General features: G+C 40.0%; 1 protein-coding gene across 40 annotated transcripts in view, besides 2 other annotated features; it reads left to right on the forward strand.

The window, feature by feature from the left end:
• PDE4DIP (phosphodiesterase 4D interacting protein) overlaps positions 1-27,707 on the forward strand; it is a 224,583-nt gene that overhangs the window by 103,514 nt on the left and 93,362 nt on the right. For 34 of the 40 annotated variants that reach the window (NM_001377392.2, NM_001350521.4, NM_001395298.1 and 31 more), the window contains 4 exons: positions 17,250-17,326; positions 19,853-19,976; positions 20,166-20,341; positions 25,800-25,917. In NM_001377392.2, the coding sequence (NP_001364321.1) occupies positions 17,250-17,326; positions 19,853-19,976; positions 20,166-20,341; positions 25,800-25,917 (495 nt within the window). Of the gene's footprint in view, positions 1-17,249; positions 17,327-19,852; positions 19,977-20,165; positions 20,782-25,799; positions 25,918-27,707 lie in introns of those variants that run through there. The other 6 variants (NM_001395329.1, NM_001395328.1, NM_022359.8 and 3 more) reach the window with 1 other exon arrangement.
• Positions 4,766-5,595: an enhancer, noted in NCBI's record as "H3K27ac hESC enhancer chr1:144966957-144967786 (GRCh37/hg19 assembly coordinates)". NCBI's record gives its function as "activates a minimal SCP1, AML or CMV promoter by ChIP-STARR-seq in primed H9 embryonic stem cells {active_cell/tissue: H9 hESC(primed)}" and the evidence as "EXISTENCE:reporter gene assay evidence [ECO:0000049][PMID:30033119]".
• Positions 9,935-10,544: an enhancer, noted in NCBI's record as "H3K4me1 hESC enhancer chr1:144961997-144962606 (GRCh37/hg19 assembly coordinates)". NCBI's record gives its function as "activates a minimal SCP1, AML or CMV promoter by ChIP-STARR-seq in primed H9 embryonic stem cells {active_cell/tissue: H9 hESC(primed)}" and the evidence as "EXISTENCE:reporter gene assay evidence [ECO:0000049][PMID:30033119]".

Raw genomic sequence — 27,707 nt, forward strand, 5'->3', positions numbered from 1 at the left:
TTCCTTCACCTTTGCCATATTCTATTGGTTAGAAATAAGTCGCAGGGCCTGCTCATACCCAAAGAGAAGGAGTTACACAAGGGCACAAACACCAAGAGGCGGGGATCATGGGGAGCCACACGGTAGTTTGTGGACCACACTACCTTTTACTTTTTTTTTTTGAAAGGATGGGATGGAAAGGGAAGCAAATAAACATGACAGTTACCAGTGCAGGAAGATTTGTTTCTAGGTTTACCTTCACAGCATTTATGGCCTTCCAAGCTGACCTGAGGCAATAAAAGCATCCTAGACTGGTAGTCTCCATGCCAACCAAGCTCTTTACTCATTCTTTGCACTTGGCAGTTTGCATTGCCACTTGCTATGTCATTTTAGTTTTTCCTTTCATGTTTTGTTTAAATAAACTTTATTAAGTATGCAGTTAGATAAATTTTAACAAATGTATACCACTGTATAACAAACACCACACAATCAAGATAAAAAAATACTTCCATCACACCAAAAAAGTTTCCATATGTCCTACTGGTGCCACGTGTTTCAAACCTTTCATACCTCTGGCTGCAGAAAACCACTGATCTGCTTTCTGTTGATAGATAGTTCTGTCTATTGTAGAATTTCATTGAAAGTGAATCATAAAATACAGACTATAGTATCTGGCTCTTAGAATAATGATTTTGAGTTTCATCCATGCTATTTGTATCAGTAGTACATTCATTTTTATTGCTGAGTAGTATTCCATTGTATGAATATAATACAATTTGTTTATTCATTCATTTGTTGATGAATGTATGATTTGTGTTCAGTAACAGGCTATTATGGATTAAGCTGCTATGAATATTCATGTAACAAGTCTTTGTTTTATTTCTTTTGGGTAAATGCCCAGTAGTGGAACTGTTAGGTTATATAATAAGTATATATAGATTAAATATCTCTTATCTGAAATGCTTGAACCAGAAGATTTTCAGATGTGTTCAGATTTTGAAATATTTGCATATACATAATGAGATATCTTGGGGATGGGACCCAAGTCTAAACATGAAATTTATTTATGTTTCATATACACCTTGTACACATAGCCTGAAGGTAATTATGTTTTTCTCTTGGGGATGCTGAATAAACTGGGTGTTGTGCCTGCATTTTTGCTGCAACCTTTCATGAGGTCAGGTATGGAGCTTTCCACCTGAGGTATCATGTTGGTCCTCAAAAAGTTTTGGATTTTGGAACATGCTGGATTTTGAATTTTTAGATTAGGGATGCCCAGTCGGTATTTCTGCCTATTTTCTGAATAGATACTGTCTAACTATTTTTCAAAGTGGCTATGCCATAGAAAATAATTTTCAAATAGCAACTTGAAGGAGATGACGAAGTTGGCCAAACAGAGAACTGGGGGAAGAATATTCCAGGCAGAGAAACATCAGGAAAGCCACTGTGGCTGATGCAGCATAATCAAGATTAAGCATGCTGGAAGATGAGGCCCCAGAGGGTATGGGGCTTGTGTAGTAAGTCCCTGTAGATGATTTTAAAGACTTCAGCTTTTACTCAGAGTGACATGGGAACCTATTGAAGGGTTTTGAGCAGAGGAGGGGTCTAACAAATGCCAGTCCTGTCTGACTTGTTGAAATGATAAATCTGGTTACAGTATTGCAAATAGGCTGTAGAACAAAAGTAGACACCAGGAGGACTCTTAGGAAGACACTGCAGTAATGTATGTAGGGGCTGATAGTGATCAGACTTAGGTAATAGTGATGCATGTGGGAACAAGTGGTGAAGGTAGCAAATCTAAAAGGATTTTGCCAATGGATTGGATACAGAATGGGAGAGAAATAAAGGAATCAAGGAAAATTCCAGGGTTTTTGGAGTAAGCAACTGGAAGGATGGAGTTGCCATAACTGAGATAGGGAAGGCTACGGATGGAGCAGATTTGAAGGTGGAGAGTAGGGGTTCAGTTTTGGAAATTTGGTGTGTAAGCTATTTGCTAGACATTTTATGTGGCAGTATTAAGTAAGCAGTTGAATACGTAAGTCTAAAGTTCAGGAAATAGAGTAGGGCTAGAGACATAAATTTGGGAGTTATCAGCAAATAGATCATTAAATATTAAATTTAAATATTTAAAGCCATGAAACCATAGGAGATCACCAAAGGAGTTGGAGTTAGACCTTTCCAGGTGGAAGAGAAAAGGACCAGAGACTGGTCCTGTATAGCTCCAACATTAGTAATTTGGAGAAAAGAGGAAGAATCAGAAAAGGAAGATAGAGAAGGTACAAACCAGTGAAGTAGGAGAAAAAGTCTGGAGTCCCGGAAGCCAAATGAAGAATGTGTGTAGTGAAGAGGACAGGATCCACCTTTTGAAATCCTGCTGAGAGCTTGAGTAATACGATGATTAAGAATTGACCTTTGGCCCGCCAGACGTGGTGGCTCACGCCTGTAATCCCAGCACTTTGGGAGGCCAAGGTGGGCCAATCACTTGAGGTCAGGAGTTTGAGACCAGCCTGACCAACATGGTGAAACCCGGTCTCTACTGAAAATACAAAAATTAGCTGGACATGGTGGCGCATGCCTGTAATCCCAGCTACTCAGGAGGCTGAGGCAAGAGAATCACTTGAACCCGGGAGGCGGAGGTTGCAGTGAGCCGAGATTGCACCACTGCACTCCAGCCTGGGCAACAGAGCAAGACTCTGTCTCAAAAAAGAATTGACCTTTGGATTTAACAACATGGATGTCATTAGTGATCTTGATTAAAGTAATTCTGGTGGAGTGGTGAAGACAAAAGCCTGCTTGCAGTGGGTTTAAGAAACAATGTGAGGAGAAGAATTGGAGTCAATGAGGATGAATAATTACTTTGAGTTTTGTTTCAAAGGAGAGCAAAGGAATGGGGCATACCTGATAAGGGTATGAGGTCCATAGGGGATTTCTAGAAAGATAAATGAATAATAGCATGTTCGTATGCCAACAGAATTTTCCATTAGAAAGTGAAATATTGATAAAGAGAAGCAGGGGAGACCTTCTAGGTGTTGCCTTTGAGAGGTAGGGGGAATAGGACTTAATTAATACATAAGTGGAAGGTTTGGCTTTAGATAGGAGCATGGATAGTTGATCTATGGTTATAAGTGGAAAGACAGAGAATGTAACCCGAGATGTGTAGATGGATTGATATGGCGGTAAGAGACTGCCAGTGCTTTCTTCTGGTTTTTTTGTTTGTTTGTTTGTTTGTTTGTTTGTTTGAGACAGAGTATGTCCCTGTTGCCCAGGCTGGAGTGCAGTGGTGCAATCTCGGCTCACTACAACCTCTGCCTCCTGGGTTCAAGCGATCCTCCTGCCTCAGCCTCCCAAGTAGCTGGGATTACAGGCACACACCACCACACCTGGCTAATTTTTTTGTATCTTTAGTAGAGACGGGGTTTCACCATGTTGACCAAGCTGGTCTCGAACTCCTGACCTCGTGATCCGCCCACCTCGGCCTCCCAAAGTGCTGGGATTACAGGCGTGAGCCACCACACCTGACCCAGGTGGGCCTTTTCTTATCACCACTGCCTGAAATCTTTCCCTCTCTGTGCTCTTCCAGCAATTGCCTACCCAAACCCTAGGCCCAGCCGACTTTGGAGGTCTCCAGTTGAACCTTCACCTTTTACTGGAATGGAGCAGTCTCTGCAAGAGGGGTTGGTGGAAGTAGGAAGCAAAAAAATTGAGAAAAGAAACAGTAAGAAGAGGAAGTTCTTGCAGGGAGAATTGTTTTTCAAGAGAGCTATATTTTTATTTTGAACAGCATCCATTTGTTTGATAAATATATCATTATCTTCTGTGTGTGGGCATTGTGCTAGCAATGCTACAGTGGTGAGAAGATAGAGGGAGTCCCTGCCCTCATGACACTTAGAGTTTAGTGTCTGAACATAGTCCGAGCAGCATTGTGATACGCTGACTCCTGTTAAGTACAGTGCCTGTTATCATCCCTGCCCAGTGGTTTTGCTTCACTTATAATTACCTAGAGTCATTTTGGTATTTTGTTGGTTGATGGATGCCAGCACCCCACAAAACTCTCCAAGATGCTATGAGACCACAGGATTAACTGTGATTCAGGTCAGACTATGTCTTAATGCAAAGTACTTAAAGCAAATACATCTTTTTCCTAACATCTTATAGAACAGTGCTGTCCAACGTAAATATAAGCCATACATGTAATTTAAATTTTTCTGATGGCCACATTAAAAAAAGTAAAAAGAAATATGTGAAATTAATGTTAATAATACATTTAAAACATTATCATTTCAACATGAAATCAACATTTTAAAATTATTAATGAGATGTCACATTCTTTTGTTGTAGTTAGTCTTTGAACTCCTGTGCGTGCTAAGTCTGAAATCCTTACAGCACATTTCGATTTGGACTAGTCACATCTCAAGGGTTCAGTAGCCACATGTGGCTCATGCCTGCCATCCTGGATGGTACATCTGTAGAGTCTACAGGGTAAGTGCTGTCTCTAGTGGAAGCAGAGCTTCAGAAGAGTTGCCTGATCATAGGACCTGGCTTCAGGACACAGCCAGGCTTCCAGGGAAGGAGTGACTGCTAGATATTAGAACTTAGTTTCTAATATCTTGTCTGTTTATTGTGTGAGATTCTGTGTAGGAAAAATGGTCCCAGACTTTGCAAAACACCAGTGACTGGCTTTGTCCTTTTTAGAGAACAGATCAAAGTATGTTTCAATCCAGAATTGAAAGCTGAATTTGGGGATAAATGTCAGATTATGTTAGATGTTACAGATAATTTAAAAATATTTAGCAAGTTTCCTATGCAACAATTTATCTATAGAAAAATTAATATAGTTTTTATATTCCAAAGTAAGGTTTTACTTAGTTTCCAGTTCTATAGCTGCTGCCCAAAGAAAACATTTATGTGAGAAGTTAAGGAAGTAAAGGGTGGTTCCTGTGAGCTCCAGTTCCTAAATAGCTGAGAAAAACAAACATTCTGAACATCCCCTTTAGCTCCTTCGGCAGGGCTGGGCTCCTGTCTCCACACAAGGTGTCCTGGGGCATTACAGGGGCTCCAGACTTACCCCTGGCTTTTGCAGGGGGCCTGCCCTTTGCTAAATTAAGCCCAGCCAGGCCTATCTGTGAACAGAGAGGCTCCAGCCGAGTGAGAGAGATTGGTTCTGCTAAGGAATGTCCTGGGGAGGGGAGAGAATCGCTGAGATCATGGGTATTTATGTGTATGTTTTCTCACTGGCCAGCTCAGTTGGGCCACATCAACAGAGGCCTCTGGGACACGACCAAGATTCTATTCTAACAGAGTGACTATAGGGAATGAATAGCTCATGACACACTGAGAAGGGTTTAATTGGAGATCAGTGTGAATACCACAGCAGAATGTATCTTGGGAACTCTGTGCTCAGAGTCTAAATAAAACAAGCAGAACACCTCATTTTCCCTCATTTTTCTTTTTGTTTAAAAAAATGGATTTTGTTTTTTATTTTATTTTTTATTTTTTAGTTTTTTAAAATGAGATAGGGTCTTTCTATGTTGCCCGGGCTGGTGTCAAACTCCTGGGCTCGAGGGATCCTTCTGCTTCAGCCCCCCAAAGTGCTAGGATTACAAGTGTGAGCCACCAGGCCTGGTCAGATTTTGTTTTTTAGAGCAGTTTTAAGCTCACGGCAAAGTTAAGCAGAAGAGCCAGAGATTTCCCATTTACTCCCTGCCCCTACATACATACCTGTGTATATACAGCCTCCCCCACTATCCAAACCCAAAGATGTCTCATTTTGATATATCTTTTCTTGGATTCTTAAGCTTAGTGTTGACCAGAAATACCTCTTATTATGATTCATGCATCTGACTATCTTTGGGAAAACTAACATTTATTGAACACCCACTATATGTCAGGTATTTTTTTTTAACATCTTTTCATTTACAACCCTGAAAGGTAGGGGTATTAGCACCATTAAAAAAACTAACAACAGAAGGAAATGAAACTTAGGTTAAAATGATTTACCTCTAGAATACAGAGATGAACTACGTGAAACTGTAAAAAAATGATTGAATATCTCCATTTTTATATGGTTCAACCTAATAGAATGTGAGAGGGCTCATATTTGAACCCAGGCCAATTTAGTTCAAAAGCCTATACTTTGCATTGTACTGTACTACTGCCCTAAAATTACTAGAATAGCACTGGATTCTTTATTTTCCCTTGGGGGTGCTGTAGTTTCACATAGATGTAGATTTATATTCCTGCTCCTTAGAAGACTAGAACAGCGATGCTTAGAGAAAGAGCAAACCAAGGTATGGTATATCTTGAGTTAGAGTAGGAGTTGAGTTGAGTGGGAGCCTAAGTTTAGAGACTAAAGCTAGGAGTTATATGATGGACCCGCACTGATTCGTGTATCTGCTGCTATTTATATCTGCCACCTGTGTGCATTTCCATACAGCTGATTCTCGGTTCTCTTTTGTTTGTTACATGCTATGATAATCATTGGTTTAATTAACCCCATAGGCTGTAAATTCTCTGAAGACTGTGATTCTGTCTGTTTTGCTCTTTCTAGTACCTATTAAAGTGTTGGCACATACCAAGTAGGTGCTTACTAAGTATTTTATGAAAAAGCAAATGAATAAACAAATGATACTATCTCAGCTACTCTGTCCTCTGCCCAATGAGCACTGTCTCTGTCTTTGCCTCTGTCTCTCTCTCTCTACACACACACACACACACACACACACACACACACACCCTAGCTGTGTCTATCCAAACACCTAATCTCCTTAGCACTCATCCATGGTCTCAGTGCTTACTCAGACATGGGTGTCTGTGTTTGTCTAATCAAGGTAAACCAGGCTGGGAAAGGACTGGTATTGCTTTGAAGCTTTTACTAAGGACTGACATAGGTTGGGCTTGAAATATGACCTGAACAGAGCAGTTTTGCCATTTGAATGTGGAGCCTTATATTGAATAAACTGAAACTTTTCCACTTGGTTTTTTCCATCTCTTTGGAGAACAGGACTGGACACTAAAGCAGGCTCTGGCAGGAGAATGTCCTGGTCTTGCAGAATCTTCTGGTTGCTAAGGCTGAGGACACAGCCCCACTGTCCTTTCTCTGGCAACAAAGGACATTTGTCACATGTTGGGGCGACTTATGTTTCTAATTTGGGACTTAACTGCACTAGTAAAAGACAGCAAATGTGGAATCAGTAGAAAGGTAGAGATTGTGCATTTGAATCAAGACTTTCTTCCACTTCACATTAAAGTGTAAAAACTTAATGCTTTGCATTTGAATACCTTCTGATAGGTGGCTAGGTGTCTCACATAAGCGTAAAAGATGAGTAATGCAGGTGGTATTATCATTCTTATGGGCAAGAAGGAGAGGCTGTAAATCAAGTTAATTGTATAAAAGCATAAAGCTTTGGGGACGACCAGTTTAAGGTCACACAGGGAGTTAATGTTAGCCAGATATCTAGACCCACTAAGGCTTCATTTTTGCTCTAATACTTATGAATGGAGAGAAACTCCATTTACAAAAGAATTCACTTGGAAACTACTAAAATGTATTTCTGGGGATCCTGCAATGACCAGTCCTTTGTCTTTTGGTCAAGACAGATAGAGTCCTTTCTGAAAATGCTCAGTGCTTCTCCCTGTTTTATAGAGTTATGACCTTGCCCCATTGATGTCAGAGAAGCCTGGAGAAAAATTCACTCTGCATACAAAAAATTCGTATGTACTACACTTTTCCTAGAAGAGATAAGATTCTAAAAATGAAAGGTTTTAAAATAAAACCCATTCACTAATAGTTACTTTTCACTTTGGGTGAATAATCAGGAGTTACATCAGGGTTTCCCTACAAGATTTTGAAACTCTTCCTCCTGCTAAATTATTTTTTAAAAATTCCTTTAGTTTACAGAATTGATTAGGATGGGATTTGGTCATATTGATTTTTGTCCCAAATAAAGACTCTTTTGTGGAATGCCAGCTCTTCTCTGGCTTGCTTCCTACTATCTTGCAAAGGTGCAGTACCCATTTCCTTCACTCACTGACCTTAACACAACTCTGATTACACTGAGAACTCCTTGAGGTCAAGGACAATGATGCCAAGAAAAGCACTTAGGTTTTGGCAATCTTTAATCTCCAATACTTTCTTGTCGACTTTATCAATGAATGTATGCTGGTATGCTGTCAAGATTTTTTAAAAACTATTTATTTTTTTTTTGGTTTTTATTTATTTATTTATTTGAGATGGAATCTCACTCTTGCCCAGGCTGGAGTGCAGTGGCGCAATCTTCGCTCACCGAAACCTCCGCCTCCTGGGTTCAAGCAATTCTCCTGCCTCAGCCTCCTGAGTAGCTGAATAGCTGAGTAGCTGAGGAGCCCTGAGTAGCTGGGCTCCCACCACCACGCCCGGCTAATTTATGTATTTTTAGTAGAGATGAGGTTTCATCATGTTGGCCAGGCTGGTCTCGAACTCCTGACCTCAAGTGATCCACCAGCCTCAGCTTCCCAAAGCGCTGGGATTACAGGCGTGAGCCACTGCGCCTGGCCTATTATTATTTTTTGAGTGGCTGCTCTTAGCCCAGCAGCAAACTTTGAGGGATATAAGCTTGCAGATGAGTTGAAATGCATACACATGAATGCACAAATGTGAAGTTAAATGCCAAAACAAAAATGTAAGCCATCAATTCAAAAGTGATAACAAAGTGTTTATTTCAGAAACTTATACTAAGAGTTACTGTGAGCCAAGAACTTTTATAAAACCTAGAAGGGGAGGCAGACATTTTAAATAAGCAATGTAAGGCAGAGTCGGGTGAGTGCTATACTAAACATCAGATGACCTGGTATGAATCCTGGTTTACTAAGGACAATCTTGATTTTTGCCTGTTGCCCAGAGGTAATTATGATAGCACCTGTTTGTACTATCAGAAGAGTCTCAGTTATTAAATTATAGTCATATAAATTATAAACTAAGTACAGTTGAAGTGAAAAGAAATCATTAGTTCTGACTGGGAGGTTGGGGAAAGGTTTCTATAGGAGAGGATGTTTGAGCTGAACCTAGAAGAACAGGTTTAGAAAGAGAAACCATCATAGGCTGAGAACAGTTCAGGCAAAGCCTTGGTGGCCTCCAAGGACACTTGTATGATTGATTTCTCAATCAGCAAATGCCCTTGTCTTTAATGGAGAGTAGTACCACCAATGGCTAGCGAGGTCTTGGAAATTATCTCACCATGAACTATCATCACTCAGAACTCTAGTTATCAGAAAAAATGGCTGCTAGGTAATGACTGATGTCATTGTCATCCTGTGTCAGATCAGAGGGCACAGTTCAAGTTGGGTAAGGTGAGCAGGTGAAAGGGAGAGGAAGAGAGTGAGTGAAGCAATGTGAAAGTTGAAGAGACTAAAGGATAACAGGTGAAGGGAGAGAACTGTGCTTTTATTGGTTCAATCTGCCCAATTAAAGAAGTTGCAGTTCCTCTTTAAACAAATCTTGTTTTTAATTTATTTCTGCATCTCTTCTTTCCTCCCTGTATCCCATACTCTGTTGTATTCTGAGTCTCCCAAGTTTGAGACGTGCCTAGAGGCAGGCTTAATTTTCTTTATCCCTCAGTATTGGGAAACGGACTCTGCACCACTGAGTCTATGTAAGTCTGGTGGCTGAAAGAAGCTGCCACAGGGAGCCGAATTTTCATTGCTATCTATGACCTGAGTTTAGGTAATTCCAGAAATGAAAATGAAAAAATAAAAAAGAATATGGACATTTACCTTTTTGGGATGAAAATGCCCCTTTTGACTTCTCATTATGTAAGTTTGAAAATTTTCAAATATAAACAAAGACTAAGAAAATAGTACCTCCCGATGTATGTGTCCCATTTACCAGGGAGCCATGTTCCCATCACTCAGCTTTAACGGTTCCCAACATTTTGCTGTTCTTTTCAGTGATCTCCCTGCACTGTTCGTTCTCCATCTTGTCCTCTTCCACCCCTTACAGCAACTCTCTGACATCATATAATTTTATTTGGGAAGATATCAGAATATAACTCTCACAGAGAAGGCTTTGTTTTTAAACATAACCACAATACTATTATTGTACCCAAAAAGCTTAAAAATAATTCCATAATACCATCTAATACTGGGTCCATACTCAATCTTCCCTTTAAAAGTCCGTGTTAAGATCTGGAGATTTTAAGTCAGTATTTCTGAGCTCCAATGTAGTGCACAGGAGTAGGATGTTTAGCCCTTCTTACGGAGAGCATGAGCAGTAGAAGAGGAGGCTGGAATCCTAAAGTGTATTCAATCTTCTATTGTCAATGGGTCAATAATATACCTATTAGAGAATATTCTTAGCTTAAAACTGAAAAAGTCAGCCAGGCGCGGTGGCTCACGCCTGTAATCCCAACACTTTGGGAGGCCGAGGCGGGCGGATCACGAGGTCAGGAGATCGAGACCATTCTGCCTAACACGGTGAAACCCTGTCTCTACAAAAAATACAAAAAAATTATCCGGGCGTGGTGGCAGGCGCCTGTAGTCCCAGCTACTCGGAGACTGAGGCAGGAGAATGGCATGAACCCAGGAGGCAGAGCTTGCAGTGAGCCGAGATTGCGCCACTGTACTCCAGCCTGGGCGACAGAGCAAGACTGTCAAAAAAACAAAAACAAAACAAAAACCTGAGAAAGTCTTTATTTATCTACTTATTTGAGATGGAGTCTCGCTCTGTCACCCGGGCTGGAGTGCAGTGGCGCGATCTCAGCGCATTGCAAGCTCCGACTCCTGGGTTCACACCGTTCTCCTGCCTCAGCCTCCGGAGTAGCTGGGACTACAGGTGCCCGCCACCACACCCGGCTAATTTTTTGTATTTTTAGTAGAGACGGGGTTTCACCGTGTTAGCCAGGATGGTCTCATTTCCTGACCTCGTGATCCGCCCGCCTCGGCCTCCCAAAGTGCTGGGATTACAGGCATGAGCCACCGTGCCCGGCCCTTATTTTTTATTTTTTTGAGGTGGAGTTTCTCTCTGTCACCCCAGCTGGAGTAGATTTTTTATTTTTTCGAGATGGAGTTTCGCTCTGTCACCCCGGCTGGAGTACAGTGGCACAATCTCGGCCCACTGCAACCTCTGCCTCCTGGGTTCAAGCGATTATCCTGCCTTAGCCTCCCGAGTAGCTGGGATTACAGGCACCCACCACCACGCCTGGCTAATTTTTGTATTTTTAGTAGAGACAGCGTTTCACCAGTTTGTCCAGGCTGGTCTGGAACTCCTGACCTCAAGTGATCCGCCCGCCTCAGCCTCCCAAAGTGCTGGAATTACAGGTGTGAGCCCCCGCGCCCAGCCAAAAGTGAGAATGTCTTTTAAAGACTTCAGATAAAAAGTTTTCCACATAATCTCACAGCATTATCTATTACCTTCTCACTCATTCAACAAACGTATCATTGTTAGTCCACTTCCGCCTCTTGTCATCTATTCCTTCTTTGTTCTCTTGTTGGTTCACTCTTTCAAAGCTTTTACTGCACAAAGAGGTGAGAGACACTGCGAGACCTCAGATTAGTCACAGCTGCCGGTTATTTGTTTTTGTTGTTGTTGTTTTTGAGACGGAGTCTTACTCTGTCGCCCAGGCTGGAGTGCAGTGGCGCGATCTCGGCTCACTGCAAGCTCCGCCTCCCGGGTTCACGCCATTCTCCTGCCTCAGCCTCTCAAGTAGCTGGGACTACAGGAGCCCGCCACCGCTCCCGGCTAATTTTTTGTATTTTTAGTAGAGACGGGGTTTCACCGTGTTAGGCAGGATGGTCTCGATCTCCCGACCTCGTGATCTGCCCGCCTCGGCCTCCCAAAGTTCTGGGATTACAGGCGTGAGCCACCGCGCCCGAGCTGCGGTTATTTGTATCAGACATTGTGCTGGGTACTTTACATAAATTCATTTATTCCTCACTACAAACTTTGAGGTAATTTTTGCAAACCCTATTTTATAAATGAGGAAATTAGGTTGTAAAAGTTGAAGTAATTTACACAAAAAAGGTCCCCCAGTTAGGAAGTGGCAGAAAGGTATGTGAACCTAGGTTTACTTATCCTGAAATTCCTGCCCCAGCATGACAACGCTGAGAGGCAGTATCTTAATAACCAGCGCACCTGGGTAGTTCTGCCACACCATCATTTCCTCTGTCCTTAGGGAGTTTGCAATTTAAAAGGGTAAATAAGACAGGTGTAGAAATATGAAGCATTTACACGGGATGCCAATGTTGCAGTATGAAAAGAATATTTGAAAGCTCATAATGTCATCATGAGAAATTACTTTTAATTTGGAGAGATAAAGTAAGGCTTCACAGGGGACGGAGCATTTAACCATGAAGCTGAAGGGCACACAATGATGTGGCACCAAGAAGCATAGGGCATGTTTGGGAAATCCAGTTAGGCTAGCAGATAATAATGGAAGATAAAGCTGGAGAGGTAGATTGAGGTCAAATTTTGAATAGACTCTATTATCAGGCCAGTTGTGTATAATTTAATCGCTGTACAGTTAAAAATCGTTAAAAGGTTTTTTCTTTCTTTCCTTTTTCTTCTTTAGCTGGACCTGCATCACATATTAAATGCTTTTTGAACAGACGGAATGAAATAACCAGAGCTATGCTTTAGGAAAAATTTAAGTAGTAGAGGGACTGAGGTTGGGGAAACCAGATATGAGACTATTCATGTACTCCAGTCCTGGGGAGAAGGAAGAAATACCTAATAGAAGTTTAATTTCAGCTTCATCATTGAAACTTTTTCTTGAGTTAGATGGGCGAACACTCCTTTGGAGGCATGAAGAAAGAGAAGTGCTTTCTTCCCATCTCCCCTTTCTTGAGTACATAAATTTCCTTAGATATCTTGACAAAGAGCCAAGAAGACTTGGTGATAAAATAAGCAAATGCAGTTAATTTGGAATCTACTGATGCTATAAAAGAATTTAACAATTTACACATGAATATTTAGTAATGGAGAATGAATAAATGTGATAAGCTATATGATGATTTTTCTACAGAAAGAAGGTGCAAGAAGGTTAGACTTTGATGTAAGATTATTGCTTTTACCTTGAAAACCCTTCTGGATTTCAGCTATCCTAGTTAGAGAGGGTAAATTGTTATTGTTTTTATAGTTAATAATAGTTATCATTTTCTGAATACTGACTGCATGCCAGGCACTGTGCGATGTGATTTTTGTGCATAATTTCATTTAGTCTCCCTAACATCCTTTGTAGATTGGTATCATTGTTATCTCCTTGATAGATGAGGTGAATGAGGCTCTTAGAGAGGGCAGGTGACTTGTCAAGCCCCCTTCTCGCCTTCAGAGCCTATGCTCTTGACCACTGTACTTACTGCCTCCATATATTCTTTCAAGACTAAATGCAGCACATTCTCTAATTCTATAATTTACCACATTCTACAAAATCAGACAAAACTGGGCAGTGTTTGCTAAGCTGGTCTCTCTGATAAAAGGCTAAAGCAAGAGTGGAGTGTTGGTTTCAGTTACGGCTTTTACCTTGGAGGTAACCCTTCTGGATTTCAATTTCCTTGTCTTTAAACTAAGAGAACTAGAACACAGAAATGCTGAGGTCTTCAAATCTGTGAATCTTTGGCCAAATTGGTCAAAGCATTGACTTCATTTTCTTCAGTAGGATTTAGAACAGATAGAACGTACTAATTTATGTCCTCTGTTTTTCTTCCTTTTAGATCTAAGTATTTTTCCTGGTAAGGCTGGGGTCTCTGACTGGCACTAGTCAGCCTGGACATGAAGGGAAAGTGAATCAAGGTTGTTGCACAGCTGTGTGCAAGGCATTGTTCTATGCTTATCATGCACATTGTCTCATTCAATCCTCACAGAATCCCTCGTGAATACTTATCTTCATTAAAAAGCAAAGCAACCACACTATACTTATAAGAAAACTGAGGCTCATAGTGATTAGTTAACCTGCCCAAGGTCACCTAGCAGGAAAGTGATAGAGCCAGGATTCGAACCTAATTCTTTCTGGCTTTAGGTTGGTTTCATAGTGCCTCTCACTTTCCCTGTTGTTTGTTTATTTTTATTTGAATATTCAAAGATTCCTCATGCAAAAATAGTATTAATAGTAAGGGACTTTTCAGGGAACTTTCTGTTGATCAGTTTATACCTGATAGAGATTCCCTATGTCACATCATGAGACTAAGAACTAGGCAGAGGACATCCATATAGCTCCAGTCATTTGAGACCTCACGTATTTTTAGATATGAGATTTTTAAAAAATCTGCTCAAGCAGTTTTGGCTTATCTGAGGTGGTTTAGCATATCCAGACTTTTCTGATTTATATAAATTAGCCAGGCATAGGAATATCATTGATAATAACACTTCATAATTATAGATTCCATTTTCTTTCATATGAGATTTAAATAGCTTTTTGCCCACTCTTTGTCATTTTCCAGGTGGAGAAGCCTTAGCAGAATTTTACCCAAGGTCACAGAAGTGAATCAATTGGTGGCAGAAATAATAATAAACTTAGGAGTCCTCTTTCTCAGCACCATATCCTGAACACTGAATCCACTTGAAACATTATGGTCTCATGGAAAGCAAACTGCTGTTCCAAATGATAATGCTGTTGTTCTTGATGATGATGGTGATAATAATATTATTATAATTAAAATTATAGTTATACCTGTGTTAGAAACACTGTCCTAAGTCCTTTACATGTATTGATTTATTTATGCCTCACGATCCTCTCAGGTAGGTTTATGAATGAGGAAAATACAATTATCTGCCTATTACACATTAGGAAGTTGCTCCCTCTTTGCATTTCCCACATAATTGAATGCATATTCCTTCACCTCTATGAAGGGCCTCTAGCTTAGGGACTATTTTTTATGAAGACATTTGAATTCCTTTAAGTATTGACCACAAAGCTGGGGACATAGCAACTGTTTAGCAAATCTTCTATTTTACTGATTCATCAATTGGTACAGATGAATTATTCTTGCAGTGCCAGGCCATGGAACTGATATAGAGATCTTAGACTTGTTCTTCATACAAAATTGAAATATGCGTGTTTCCATTTGTTAATCTTTTGGTATTTGTATTGCAGAATAAAATACAGGGTACTCAATTCAATTTAAATTTCAGATAAACAACAAACAATGTTTTAGCGTTTAAGTTATGTCTCAAATATTGCAAAGGATATACTTCTAATGAAACAAATTATTTGTTGTTTATCTGAAATTTAAATTGAAGTAGATATCTTATATTTTTATTTGCTAAATCTGGTAATGCTATTTAGTGTTCATAAAATAATAACTTTAAAGTATATCCTGAAAAGACAGGGCTATCATTCCTTCTTTTGAAGAAATTAGGATATTTTCATCTCACTGGATCTGAATCTATGTTCTAACCTTGGTCAAAAGGTACCTACTTATGAGGGGAACAAACATTCTTCTCAGTATGTCACTAAAAACATACTAGTAATATGATCTAAAATGCCTTGAGTCCAACTGCCTTCCAGCTCTAAAATTCTTTAATTCTAAGTAACTCTCAAATATCTAAACTAGGTTTCTACTTTTCCCAATTAGTATTTGTGTTTCGACCACCCTGCATGGAAACATGGGTTATGAAATGCCTTCACAAGTATGGTAGAAAATATGCTGCTATTGTATGTTGCCTTGGACTTCTAGAAGTCTAGGTGTTGGTGGTTATTATATGGCGATAGTAAAGTAAAATCCTCCCTACTGTTCTAGTACCCACAATACTACTTTTCATACTTTAGCTACTTTACCTTCAGTCTCTCTGTCAACCTCTGATCTAAAGACTTCTTTACTAAATAACATTCTTCTTGCCTAATACTGTATTATGGACTTCATCAGGGAAGGGACTAATCCATCTTTGCATGCTAACGTTTAAGCTGAAATAAAGTAATCCCTCAATTAACATTTTGCAGAAACCTCCTTAGGTTCCCCTACAAACCTGCCCCTATTTTAGTTAATAGAATGCATTCCCACTGACATGCTGGAAATTTCAGCATTGTCTTTGGTCCTCCCTCCAGTCTAATCTGAATCTCACAAGTCATCAAGGCCTGTGGCTTCTGTCTCTGAAATGGCTTTTGAGTCTTTCTCCCTGTACCTCTTGTCCTTAGACAGTCCCCCTCCCTATTCTGGTTAGTTGCCCCTGACCCACCCACCTTCTTCATAATTCCTTCTTCAACATGGACCCGATCATGCCAATACTTTGCTTAAAGCTCCCTGATAAGTCTTTGATTTCTACTGATTATTATCCAGTTTTTTACTTTTTTAATTTTTTTTATTTTGAGACAGAGTCTCTCTCTGTCACCCAGGCTGGAGTGCAGCAGCATGATCTTGGCTGACTGCAACCTCCACCTCCTGGGTTCAAGCGATTCTCCTGTTTCAGCCTCCCAAGTAGCTGGGATTACAGGCGCATGTCACCACGCCCAGCTAATTTTTGTATTTTTAGCAGAGATGAGGTTTCACCATGTTGGTTAGGCTGGTCTCTAAAGCCTGACCTCGAGTGATCTGCCTGCCTTGGCCTCCCAAAGTGCTGGGATTATAGGTGTGAGCCACCGTGGCCGGCCTATCTAGTTGTCTTAGCAGGATTTTCACAAACTAGTTGCAAACTATTTTCTATACTCCTTACCACACACTAAGCCACTTAACCTGCACCAGACACACTTGGGATGTTTTTATTTCCTTATTTCTGTTTCCCCAAATCTTACTTGTTGCATCCTCACCTCAATAAAAATTAATTGTTCCCTGTATAACTTTACCATCAGAGTCCCCTCTCACCTTAAGCAAACCTAATTTATAAAATTCCAATTTTATGATAAAAGCATTGTTTTTAAAAATGTTTACAACCAAATTTCTTTAAATAATTAAATCCCCAGACATTTAAAAGTATTGTTCTATTACTATAATTCTATTAAAAGTATTATTCCAGCAATTTCGTTTTCAGGAACAACCTGTATTAGATAGGAAAAATTTATTTTAATATATACTCTGTCCTGCAATGGTTTAGAGAACGAATAGACTTAAGCAGTGTTCATGATCCAGGGGTAATGATAAATAGGTTGGGAAAATTGATAAGTAGCTCAGGGGAAACCCTGAAGCTGTACAGTTTATTCTTCCTTGACTAGATTGCTGATCCAACTAAATCCCTAATTATGTCAAGGGTCACAAAGAGGGCAGAGATGAGGTGAGAGGCTGTGGACCAAGGCAAGACTCAAATAGGAACCTGGATCCAGGAAAGAGTGTCTGTGGCAGTTAATAACGATTAATGCCTGTGTGTTTTTCAGAACATTGAGCTGAAGGTTGAAGTGGAGAGCTTGAAACGAGAACTCCAGGACAAGAAACAGCATCTGGATAAAACATGGTAAGTTGTAATTTTAAGCTCTGGTCCTTTCCAGAGTCTGTCTTACTAATCTGAGAGCAATAGATTTGGAACCAAATTCCTTAACCTATCTGTGGCATTTGAATCCTGTATCTGATTCAGGAACTGAAACAATAGATTTTCATATGCTGTGTTTCCCTTGGGCTCTTTCTCTATTACTAGGTCAGATGGACCTTGTCATAAGTTGGTAAATCCACCAGACCTAAGACTGCAAACTTCCTATCAGTCAGCAATCAACTAAATTGAAACAGTGAATGTTTCCACTTTTAGTAGAGACAAATGCAAATAAGCTTTATCAAAAAGTATCAGTCAGCCTATAATAACATCAAGAGCTGAGATAACATTTGGGGAAAATGGGCACTCTCATACACTACCAGTGAGTGTAAATTGTGACAACATTTTTAGTATGGGATGCTACCTATTATAATAAAAAAGGAGGATTTCCTTTGATCAAACAATCCCGAGAAGGAATCTGTTTCTTATAAATAAAAGCGTTAGTGTGAAAGGATAAATGTATAAGGATGTTTATTGCATCATTAGTTGTAATGGCAAAAAACTAGAAACAATTATCCATCAATAGGGCATTGATTGAATAAATTTTGGTATTACTACACTGTGGACTATTATGCAGTTATTGAAGAATGAGTTAGCTCTATATTATTGTCCTAGTGGGAATTCCTTGATTAAAGTAAGGGGGAAAAGTTGCTGAGTGATATTTATAGTATACTGAGGAAGAGTGAGATCACAGTCCGTGATAGGGAGAAGACTTGATATTTTTCTTTATATACATTTATATTGCTAAAATGGTTACTTTTATAATTTACAGTTTTTTAAAAGCTTAGTGTTAAATGACAAGTATTACTAAAATTATTAAAAATATTTTCAGACTTCAATAAAGTTTCAGAATACAAAAATTAATGTACAAAAATCAGTAGCATTTCACCAGGCATGGTGGCTCACGCCTGTAATCCCAGCACTTTGGGAGGCCGAGGTGGGTGGATCACGAGGTCAGGAGATCGAAACCATCCTGGCTAACACGGTGAACCCCGTCTCTTCTAAAAATAGAAAAAAAAAAATTAGCCGGGTGTGGTGGCAGTCGCCTGTAGTCCCAGCTACTTGGGAGGCTGAGGCAGGAGAATGGCGTGAACCCGGGAGGCGGAGCTTGCAGTGAGCCGAGATCATGCCACTGCACTCCAGCCTGGGCGACAGAGCCAGACTCCGTCTCAAAAAAAAAAAATCAGTAGCATTTCTACACACCAATAACATTCAAGCTGAGAGCCAAATCAAGAATGCAATCCCATTTACAATATCTGCTAAAAAAAAAAAAAAATACCTTGGAATACATCTAACCAAGGAGGTGAAAGATCTCTACAAGGAGAACTATGAAACACTGCTTAAAGAAATCATAGATGACACAAACAAATGGAAAAACATTCCATGCTCATGGATTGGAAGAATCAATATCATTAAAATGGCCATATTGCCGAAGGTAATCTACAGATTCAACACTATTCCTATCAAACTACCAATGTCATTCATCAAATGACCAAGATCAAAGCCAGAGGCATCACACTATCCAACTTCAAACTATACTACAAGGCTACAGTTGCCAAAACAGCATGTTGCTGGAAAAAAAAAAAGACACATAGACCAATGGAAGCAAATAGAGAACCCAAAAATAAAGCTACACACCTACAGCAATCTGATCTTCGACAAAATCAACAAAAATAAGCAGTGGGGAAAGCACTCCCCTATTCGATGGTGGTGGGATAGATAACTGGCTAGCCATATGCAAAAGAATGAAACTGGGCCCCTACCTTTCAGCACATATAAAAATTAACTCAAGATGGAGTAAAGATGTAAATGTAAGACCTCAAACTATAAGAATCCTAGAAGAAAACCCAAGAAACACCATTCTGGACATTGGCCTCAGGAATTTATGACTAAGTCCTCAAAAGCAATTGCAACAAAAACAAAAAGAGACAAGTCGGATTTATTTAAACTAAAGAGTTTTGCACAGCAAAAGAAACTATCAACAGAGTAAACAGACAACCTGTAGAATCTAAAAAAATTTGCAACTAGCATCTGAAAAGGGTCTAATATCCAGAATCCATAAGGAATTTAACAATTGAACAATGAAAAACAAATAACCCCATTAAAAAAATGAGCAAAAGGCATGATCAAACACTTTTCAAAAGAAGACATACAAATGCCCACCAAATATATGAAAAATTGCTCCACATCACTAATCATCAGAGAAATATAAATCAAAACCACAATGAGATACCATCTCACACCAGTCAGAATGGCTACTATTAAAACGTCTAAAAACAACAGATGCCGGTGAGGCTGCATAGAAATGGGAATGCTTACACGCTGTTGGTGGAAATATAAACCAGTTCAGTCACTGCAGAAAGCAGTTTGGAGATTTATCAAAGAACAACCTTAATGGTTCCACTTGCTAAACTGTATGTCTGGCTCTGATTGGCTAATGCTCTGTGGTTTTAGGGCTGATGTGGAGAATCTCAACAGTCAGAATGAAGCTGAGCTCCGACGCCAGTTTGAGGAGCGACAGCAGGAGACGGAGCATGTTTATGAGCTCTTGGAGAATAAGATCCAGCTTCTGCAGGAGGTGAGGAGTTCCCAAAGTCCATAGGTAGGGGTTCTCTTTTATTAACACTCCTCTTCCTACTGCTCTGCCTTCTGGCATTCACCTTTTCCGTCTCTACTTTCCCTCTGAAATTCATCAATGTTCCTGGGTCTTAGGGCTCCTAATCTAGGTAGAAATTTTGCAGCCTCTCAGTTTTTGTTCTTTTTCCAGGAATCCAGGCTAGCAAAGAATGAAGCTGCGCGGATGGCAGCTCTGGTGGAAGCAGAGAAGGAGTGTAACCTGGAGCTCTCAGAGAAACTGAAGGGAGTCACCAAAAACTGGGAAGATGTACCAGGAGACCAGGTCAAGCCCGACCAATACACTGAGGCCCTGGCCCAGAGGGACAAGTAGGTGCCTTCGGTGCTCTTTTTGTCGCTTGTCTTTTGCCCATTCTCAAGGCATACAGCAGCTGTCCTGTTCCCTTTCAAGGACTGACAGTAGGAGCTTCACTATTTCTAAGACTTTATGGGCCCACAACCGAAGACATTCTTTTCAGGGTTGAATTTTCAGTGGTATCCATTATGAAAACTCACTTCATGGATTCAGTGGGCAAATAGCGGCAAGCAAGAGACATAGATTCACTTATTCAGCAAACATTTACTGGGCATGCCACATGCCAGATACCGGGCTAAGTATCTGGCATGTGTTACAGAAACAAAAGACCTAATTCTTGTCACCAAGAAACATGTTACATGATTTTAATAAGTTCCCTGATAGAAGAGCATGGGGTGCTCTGGGGAAATATTGGAGGGTCATCCATTCCACATTAAAAGAGCAAGTTGTCTGCTGTGGTCTGAATGTTTGTGTCCCATCCCCACCTCCCTCCCCCACCAGTTTATATGTTGAAATCTTAACCCTTAAGGTTAATACTTCTGCCTCCAGAAGTAGTATGAGGTGGAGCCATTAGGAGGTGATTAAATCATAGACATTGGAGATGGAGCCCTCATAAATGGGATTAATACGCTTGTAAAAGAGACCCCAGAGAGCTAGTTAGCCCATTCTACCATGTGAGGATATAGTGGGAATGCACCGTTATGAGCCAGAGTGTGAACCTTCACCAGACATTGAACCTGTCAGTGACTTGATCTAGGACTTCCCAGCCTCCAAAACTGTGAGAAATACATTTCCGTTGTTTATAAGCCTCCCAGTTTATGGTGTTTTGTTATAGCAGCCCAAAAAGACTAAGATAATGCCATTGAAGTTTTCCTAGAGGAAGCGAAATCTGAGCTGAGCTTTGAAGGATGAATAGGAGGTAGAATAAATAGGTAGAAAGTGGATAGGGAAAGGAAATATTCTATGCAGAAGGAGAAACTATGGAGGGAAGACACAGGGAAAGGAATATTTCAAGAACTTTAAATAATTGTACATAACTGGAGCAAGTGAGAAGACAAGTGAGAGGTAAGCTGTTTTGAGAATAGGGGTCTGATTGTGCCAGCTTTGTATACCATTATAAGGAACTTGGACTTTGTCCTGAAGGTAACTGGGCAATTATTGAGGTCACCACCATCTACTGTCTGGATTACCGAGGAAACTTTCTAAATGTCCTCTCCACTTCCAGTCCTGCTCCTCTCATTCAATCTCAACCTAATAATTCAGAGTAGTTCTGAAATAGATAATTCAACAACAACAAATTGGCAAATAATTTAGCCTCTTAGGTGCATAAGACTGTGGTGGTATAAAAAGCTTTAAGGAGCTTTTAACTGAATAGGCAAAAACCACATGTGCATACCATGACCAATGTGATCTTTCCAAGACATAAATTTAATCGCACCATGGCAGAGCCATTTAAGAAGCTTTGCAATACCTTTAGGAGATAAGATCCATACTCCTAATGTGACCATCAAAGCCTTTTATGATGTAACCTCTGATTTCTCCCACACTCATCACCCACCACCATTCCTTAACTTCATTCATGCCAGGCTAGTAATAATAATGATGGCTAAGCTTTGTTGAGCTCTTACCATACAGCTGAGTACTTTATGTTCTTGTTTAACAGCCCCATGAGATATGAATTATTATACTTTATTAATGAAAAAATTGGCATCTGGAGACTTGTGAAACATGGTTTCAGGGATTGCTGACATCCAAACCCTGAAGCCATACTGCCTCCAGAAGCATAAGAAGCTATGGCAAGTCTCCAGAATTTTGCTCATGCTTTTCCTTCTGTGGGAAACATCTGCCAACTTTTTCCCTTCTAGTGAACCTCACTAAGGCATCAATCGTCATTTCTTTGAAGGCTTTGTGATAGCAGAATGAAGTTTCTGTATTGTTTCTTTTATATATATACATATTGTACAATTCTCAGTATGGTACTGTATTTGCTTTCAGATTTTCCCTACTAGGTTCCCCAAGACAGTGTCATATTTGAACCCCAATTAAAAAAAACTGAACTAAAAACCAAAACAAAACCCCAAGTAAAGCACATGCACATCTGAAAATAAATTGAGGCCACTCATCAGATGACCTTGAACAATTTTGGAGAGTAGGAGAACAGATCCTCTGTGGAGACTAAGGGTCAAAGAGATGAGCAAAGTTTGAGGTTTAAGAAAAGTAGAGATGTTCTAGTGCAGATACCATGAGGGAATTTCATATGGAGTCCACATTCCTCCTTCTCGTCATCATTGCAGTTTACATTTGTATAATGTTTTTAATTTTTTGTTTCTGTTTTTGCTTTTGTTTTGAGATGGAGTCTCGCTCTGTTGCCCAGGGTGGAGTACAGTGGCAAGATCTCGGCTCACTGCAACCTCTGCCTCCCAGGTTCAACCGATTTTCCTGCCTCAGCCTCCCGAGTAGCTGGGATTACAGGCGTGCACCACCACGCCCAGCTAATTTTTGTATTTTTAGTAGAGACAGGGTTTCACTATGTTGGTCAGGCTGATCTCAAACTCCTGACCTCAGGTGATCCGCCTGCCTCAGCCTCCCAAAGTGCTGGGATTACAGGGATTACAGGCATGAGCCACCATACCCAGCCCAATGTTTTTAAGTTTTAAAAGTTATTTCTCCTGGGAATCATGGCTCACACCTGTAATCCTAGCACTTTGGGAGGCCGAGGCGGGCGGATCACGAGATTAAGACCATCCTGGCCAACATGGTGAAACCCCATCTCAACTAAAAATACAAAAATTGGTTGGGCATGGTGGCGCATGCCTGTAGTCCCAGCTACTCGGGAGGCTGAGGCAGGAGAATCGCTTGAACCAGGGAGGTGGAGGTTGCAGTGAGCCAAGATTGCGCCACTGCACTCCAGTCTGGCGACAGAGCAAGACTCCATCTCAAAAAAAAAAAGAATCACAACTGGAAACATTTCATTTAGTACCCAGCAGATTTTCAAGGACCTGGAAGGTTCATGTTCCAATATATACAAACAGAGAATATGCCTAGCACATAGATGATCAATAAGTTTATTTGAACCCATAGTTTGTATACCTCAGCACAGTATTTTACAACTTAACCCTAGTCTGAGGGTCTGAATTTTCAGTCTCTTCTCCAGCCATTGCCTCTTCCCTGGGCCTTTGTTCCAGTGACTCTTCCCAAATTGTACACTGGGTCTTCATGCCTTTGTTCCTTTGTTCAATCTCCTCCTTCTGAGCCTGGAAAACCACCCAAGTCTTTGCTATTGTAAATAGTGTGCAGTGAACATTTGCATGCATATGTCTTCATGGTAGAATGATTTATATTCCTCTGAGTATACCCAGAAATGGGATTGCTGGGTCGAATGGTAGTTCTGCTTTTTGTTCTTTGAGGAATCACCATACTGCTTTCTACAGTGGTTGAACTAATTTAACACTCCCACCAACAGTGTATAAGTGTTTCCTTTTCTCTGCAACCTCACTAACGTCTGTTATTTTTTGACTTTTTAACCATAGTCATTCTGACTGGTGTGAGATGGTATCACATGTGGTTTTGATTGCATTTCTCTAGTGATCAGTGTTATTGAGCTTTTTATCATATGCTTGTTGGCTGCAGGTACGTCTTTTGAAGTGTCTGTTTATGTCCTTTGCCCACTTTTTAATGGGGTTGCTTTTCTTTTGTATATTTGTTTACATTTCTTATAGATGCTGGATATTGGACCTTTGTCCAATGCATAGTTTTCAAATATTTTCCCCCATTCTGTAGGTTGTCTGTTTACTCTGAAACCACTCAATCTTTAAAATTTCTTCTCCTGAGCATCGCTATACTCCTTCAAGTCAAATGAATTATTTCTTTATCTTTCATCCTATAGCTCTATGGCAGCACTCAATGTACTATATGGTGCCTCTATTCTGGTAGCATTTATTATATTCTATTACTATTATTTGCTTATATACAATCATGCATCACAAACTACAGGGATATGTTCTGAGAAATGTATCTTTAGGCAATTTCATTCTTCATTGTGTGGCCATCACAGAGCATACTTACACAAACCTTGATGGGATAGGCTACTGCACACCTAGGCTATATGGTATAGCCTATGGCTTCTGGGCTACAAACCTGTATGACATATTACTGTACTGAATACTGTAGGCAATTGTAACACAATGGTAACCATTTGTGTATCTAAACATAGAAAAGATACAGTAAAAATACTGTATAAAAGATAACAAACAGTACACCTGTTTAGGGCACTGACCATAAATGGAACTTGCAGCACTGGAACATGCTGTGGGTGATTTAGCGAGTGAGTAGTGAAGTGGATGAATGTGAAGGCCTAAAACACATTTTGTAGTCATATAAAAATATTTTCCTTATATCCTTATTCTAGAAAAGGTTTATTCTGTTTTTAAATTTTTAATTTTTTTTTTTTACTTTTTAAACTTTTTTGTTACAAACTAAGACACAAACATACACACAAGCCTAGGCCTACACAGTGTCAGGATCATCAGCTTCACTGTCTTCCACCTTTACATCTTGTCCGCTGGAAGGTCTTCAGGGACAATAACACACATGGAGCTGTCATCTCCTATGATAACAATGCCTTCTTCTGGAATAGCTCCTGAGGGACCTGCCTGAGGCTACTTTACAGTTATTTTGTTTAATAAGTAGAAAGAGTACACTCTAAAACGACAATGAAAGTATAGTAAATACATAAACCAGTAACATTTATTATCAAGTATTACATACTATACATATGTTATATTTGTATACAACTGCCAGTGCAGTAGGTTTGCTTTACACCAGCAACACCACAAACAAGTGAGAAATACATTGCACTATGATGTTACTGCAGCTAGGACTTTACTAGGTGATAGGAATTTTTCAGCTCCAGTATAATCTTATTGGACCATCATCATACATGCAGTATGATGACATAATGTTGACAGAAACAGTATATGGTACGTGACTGTAGCTGTATGTCTTCTTACTCTCCAAATCACTAGCAAACACATGCTGGTGGAATTTAAATTTTTGCAAAACAGCGATTGTTTCTTTTCCAACTTCATATTTCCAGTACTTGGTAGAGTGCATTGAGTACACAAAATAGTTATCCAAGAACCGTTTATTGAATGGAACAGCCACTACCACCACCACCAAAAAATTCTAGGCCCTTATTCCAAGAGTTAAATTCCTATGGTCTAAAGATCCATGGATTAACTTCAGGAGGTCCATGAACGTGGTGAAAATGTAAGCAAAAAGTTGTTTGTGTATATATTTGGGGGCTGGGCAGAAAATACATGGTTTTCTAAACAAATGTGTCAAAAGGTTCAATGATCCAAAAGGATAAAAACCTGCTATACTAGACCATGCTATCTTTGGAATGGGCTGAAAAAATAAGGTAATAATAGTATCATGATCATAATTACTGTCCTTACTTTTCCTTTGCTTCAGGAGAATTGAAGAACTGAATCAGAGCCTGGCTGCCCAGGAGAGGCTTGTAGAACAGCTATCTCGGGAGAAACAACAACTGCTACATCTGTTGGAGGAGCCAACTAGCATGGAAGTGCAGGTAAGGTTTGGTCAGTACATCCAGAAGCACTTGCTTCATGCTTTCATAAGCCCTGCTTTTTAATATCTAAGTGTATTTGTTATCTATTGTTGTGTAACAGATTACTACAAACTTAGCAGTTTAAAACACCTTATTTTTGTTATCTCACAGTTTCTGTGAGTCAAGAGTCCAGATATGGCTTAGCTGAGATCTGTTTGGAGTCTCATAAGTGTGAAATCAAGATGTAGACTGGGCTCTTTTCTCATCTGGAGGCATACCTAGGGAAGGATCGGCTTCTAAGCTCCTCAGGCTGTTGGAAGGATTTATTGCTGTGTAGCTGTAGAAGTTATGGCAGCTTCCTTCTTCATAGCCAGCAGCAGAAAGAGTCTGTTACTTTTCTCACTTCTAGACTTTCTTTTAAGGGGCTCATTAGGGCAGGCCCACCAGCATAATATCCCTTTTCGTTAACTTAAAATCAACTGATTAGCAGCCCTAATTACATCTATATGACCTCTTTACTTTTTTCATATAACATAGCATAACTATGCAGTGACATTTCATGACCTTTGCCATATTGGTTAGAAGTTACAGGTTCTACCCATCCTCAAGGGGTGAGGATAACACAAAGATGTGATGGCCAGTGGGTGAGAATTATAGGGACCACCTTAGAATTTGCCAGCCACATCAAGTGATTTATAATTATATAGAACATACAATGTTTTAGGGGTTTTTTTGAGGGTTAAGTTGTAAAATACTGTGCCGAAGTACACAAACTATGGGTTCAAATAAACAGTTATTGATCATCTATGAGCTAGGCATATTCTCTGTTTGTATATATTGGAGTATGAACCTTCCAGGTCCTTGAAAATGTGCTGGGTACTAGTTGAAATGGTGATTACTATTTCCGTACAAGTGTATCAGATAATGATAGAAATTTGCCTCCAAAAAAAAATTTTTTTTTTTGAGTTGGAGTCTCACTCTGTTGCCCAGGCTGAAGTGCAGTGGGATGATCTCGGCTAACTGCAACCTCTGCCTCAGCCTCCCGAGTAGCTGGGATTACAGGTGCATGCCACCACACCCAGCAATATTTGTATTTTTAGTAGAGATGGGGTTTCACCATGTTGGCCAGGCTGGTCTCGAACTCCTGACCTCAGGTGATCTGCCCGCCTTGGCCTCCCAAAGTGCTGGGATTACAGGCGTGAGCCACCACACCTGGCCATAATGTAGTTTTAATATTGAAAAGAGAACTCACTGTGGTAAAAAATAATTGCATTGATTTTCTGGGAAGTTACCTCGAAGGGAACTCCTCTCCTTCATTCAACTTTTAATTTACTAAAAAGATATTTTCTAAAAGAACTTTAGAATATACCTGCACCCAAACAACAAAAGCAATTACCTGGTATCCTTACATTCTTGCACTGGTCTTAGACTACTGATAAGACAAAATGTGGGTGGTTTACTTTACTGGTTCACATATGGAAAGGTTGGGGTCAAGATAAAAGAGCAATGATAAGAATTAGTTTAAACCACTGCTTCCCAACCTTTCCATTTCATGGCAAATGATAATATTTGTAAGGTATAGAGGTAAATGGATGAAGCTTCTCACTTGGAGGTGGCCAATTTGGGTGCTTAGGCCACTATGAGGGCAGGAAAAAATTACTATCTTGGCCACAATTACAAACTTCTTAGACTGCAGCTCCATTTTGGTTGGAAAGCATTGGTTAACAAACTCAAGAAATAATGTGTGAACATAATTTTACAAGTATGAATACAAATTGAAGTTCATAGGCTTTTTGCAAGATACATGTTGA

Source organism: Homo sapiens, chromosome 1 (assembly GCF_000001405.40).
Source record: "Homo sapiens chromosome 1, GRCh38.p14 Primary Assembly".
NCBI lineage: Eukaryota > Metazoa > Chordata > Mammalia > Primates > Hominidae > Homo > Homo sapiens.